Here is a 2,883-nt window from a genome sequence, read left to right as displayed (position 1 = left end):
GGGTCAGCTTGCCTGATGGCTGGGGGCTGAGGGCCAGGGTGCCTGCTTGTATGTGGGGGTGGCTGTGGCTGTGGGGTTGTGCAGCGGGGGCAGAGACCCTTGGTGGGAATATCTCACATGAGGTTTTCTCCTGCTGGGGACTTTCTCAGGGAGTTTCCTAGAAAGGGAGAGGAAGGGGAGGTAGGGAATGGGGAGCAGGGAGAGGAGGATACAGGCAAGGGAGAGACTGGGCAGGGGCAAGACTGGGCTGGCCTGAGGGACTGATTCTCCAGTCTCAGATGCTGGGACTTAGCCCCCGTAGGTGCAGTCATCATAACCCTGACAATTTGTGACACTGATCCTGTCCCGGGCTTGTATGTATCATCTCACCTGTGTGATTTGGAAAGTTGGCCCCGTTTACAGTGGTGGAAACAGGCTCGCCAGCTCCAACTCCAGAGGGCAAATGGGTGGCAGAGGGTAAATCAAAACCACATCTGTGTGGCTCTACCCTCCAGCCTCTGACCTGCAGCTTGAGTGAGGACATAAGGGTGGAGAAGAGGGTCAGGGCAGAGCTGGTGGTGGCCCCCAGAGGTGGGAGGGCTTTGCTGCAATCCTGGAAGGCCAGGGCTAGAAAGGCACCCTTTACCCATTGTGCAGACAGGGCACCTAGGGTTCAAAAGGCAGCACCTACCCCCTGTTTGGACTTCCCACATTAATGTGGGAGCTTCCCTGAGCCCCCAGCTCCATGAGGTCCTCTGGTGACTCTTTAAGACGGCATTTCTTGGGGCCAGCAGCATGGGCTGTGACTGTCCTAGGTACCATTCAGAAGTGACTGAGCCCTGACCTTTGACCTTCTCTGACTATCCCTTCGCGAGGAAGCAGGAGAAATGGGGATATTCTTGGTCCTCGTTAGAGGAACAGAGAAGGAATCTGAAACATCGCTGTCCTCACAGACCCCAGCACTGGAGGAGCAGAGGCGAATGGCTTCCTCCCCAGAGCCTCAGTCCTCCTATCTGGATCATGGGCATAGGGAGAGGAGGGAGGGATGCTGGGGCACCCCCATTCTGGTTTTTGGCATGTGGTCTAGAGTGTCTTATGTCCCACGAGGTTACACTCAGGGGGCTGGAGACCCCTTCTTGGGCAGGCAGCCCTCTCCCCTCCAGAGGCCCTCCCTTGCCCAGGCAGCCCCGAGGACTCCAGCCTTTGCTGCTCCCTCCTCCCCCGACAGGTCCCCTGGGGCCTGGGAGGAAGCGAGCCCGGCTGGACAGCCCGAACTGTCTGGTTCCCACAGTCTCAGAGCTGGGGTGGAGGAGGACCTGCAGGGTGAGAGGGGCTGGGAAAACGCCTGGCCAGCTGTGGGGCCCCTCCCCACCATGCCTGCTGAACCCCAGCCTGGAACCCATCAAACAATGGGGAGGAGGAGCAAGGGTCTGTGCAGCCTCCTATGGGCAGCTTCATGGGGCAGAGGGAAGAGGAAAGGCCCTCTGTGTGCAGGGCATGGTGAGGAGGGGGAAGGAGGCTCTTGTGTGAGTCTGTACCATGGCGTGTGCCTGTGTGGATCAGTGTGTCTCAGGCTGCGTGTGTGTATATGACAGAGAAAGAGAGAGATGCAGAAAGACAGACCCTGCAGAGGCAGACAGACAGATTCAAAGGGGTGAGAGTTCTTTCTCAGTTGGGTCAGGGAAGGAGGCCTCTGCTGGGCGCTGTTCCCGTTGCACATTCCTGTGGAGCCCTGGTGACCCCAGTCCCTTCCCAGCCTGGGTTCTGAGCTACTAGGAGGATGGGAAGCCGGCTGGGCTGGGGGAGCCCAGGCCTCTGCCGCTGTACTCCCCAGCATCCCCCTGAATCAAGGAAGTTTAGCTCTGCACTAGGGTGGGGACTTGTGGAGAAGGAGGCTGAGTCTCCTGCTCATCCCTTGCCCTGGGGGAATGTGCGAAAGGGTTGCCCACATGCAGGCTCAGAGCCCCCTCTGCACATCTCCCTCTGGCCTCCGACATAGTCATGAAGAGAAGACAGGCCCCCTCAGCCCCAACCCCCCAAGCAGGACCCTGGACTCAGCACATGCCTTGGACTCACTGTATGAGCCTGGACCAGTGCCCACCTCTCTGCGTTTCACTCCCTTTGCCCGGTGGTTGTGGGGAAGGGCAGCCTGACTCACGGTCTGAGTCCCAGGAACGGATCTGACCTGGAGGAGGTCCCTTCTCTGGAGGTGCTGGGCAAGGAGACACCATGATCTCATGCACCCTTGGCTAGCTGCCCAGCCCAGGGACCCCACCCACGGGGCCTCCTGCCTTCACATTCTTTCCATGACCAACATTCACCTCCGGCTCCCACCTGACCACCCTCATCTGGACAGGGGTTGCGGGGACAGTGAATGCCTCTGTCGACCCAGATAGAGCCCCTTGGCACAGATGGAGAGACCAAGGCCAGAGAAGAGAGGTAACATGCCCAGGGTCACATGGCAAGGCAGGAGCAGAGCCGCTTCTCAGCCCATCCATGGCACCCCCTCTGATGCCTTAATGTAGCTCTGGAGGGGAGGGATGGGGCCATCTCGTTGGACCAAGGACCTCCTCATAGGGAGCGTGTCCATCTCTAGGAGGGAATCCCAGTCCCCATTCCTCCTCTTTAGCAGGTGAGAGCAAAAAAGGTTATTGAGACCCTTACAGAGTTAGACGAATCAAATCCTAAAATGGCAGAATCAGAATCTGAAATGAATATTTCAGAAACTTCCAGAGTTTTTAATCATAGCAACTCAGATTCCTGGAATATCAGAGCCGGAAGGGCATCTCCTGCCCGATTTCTGAATCCTCTCTACATTAAAATGGTCGACATCACATGGGGTTCCAGGAACTGGGAGCCCACTGCCTTTCCAGGTGGCCGGCCCCTTCCCACAAAAGTGTGGTA

The sequence above is a fragment of the Homo sapiens genome, chromosome 20 (genome assembly GCF_000001405.40).
Source record: "Homo sapiens chromosome 20, GRCh38.p14 Primary Assembly".
Taxonomy (NCBI): Eukaryota; Metazoa; Chordata; class Mammalia; order Primates; family Hominidae; genus Homo; species Homo sapiens.
Note: the sequence above shows the minus strand (reverse complement) of the source record.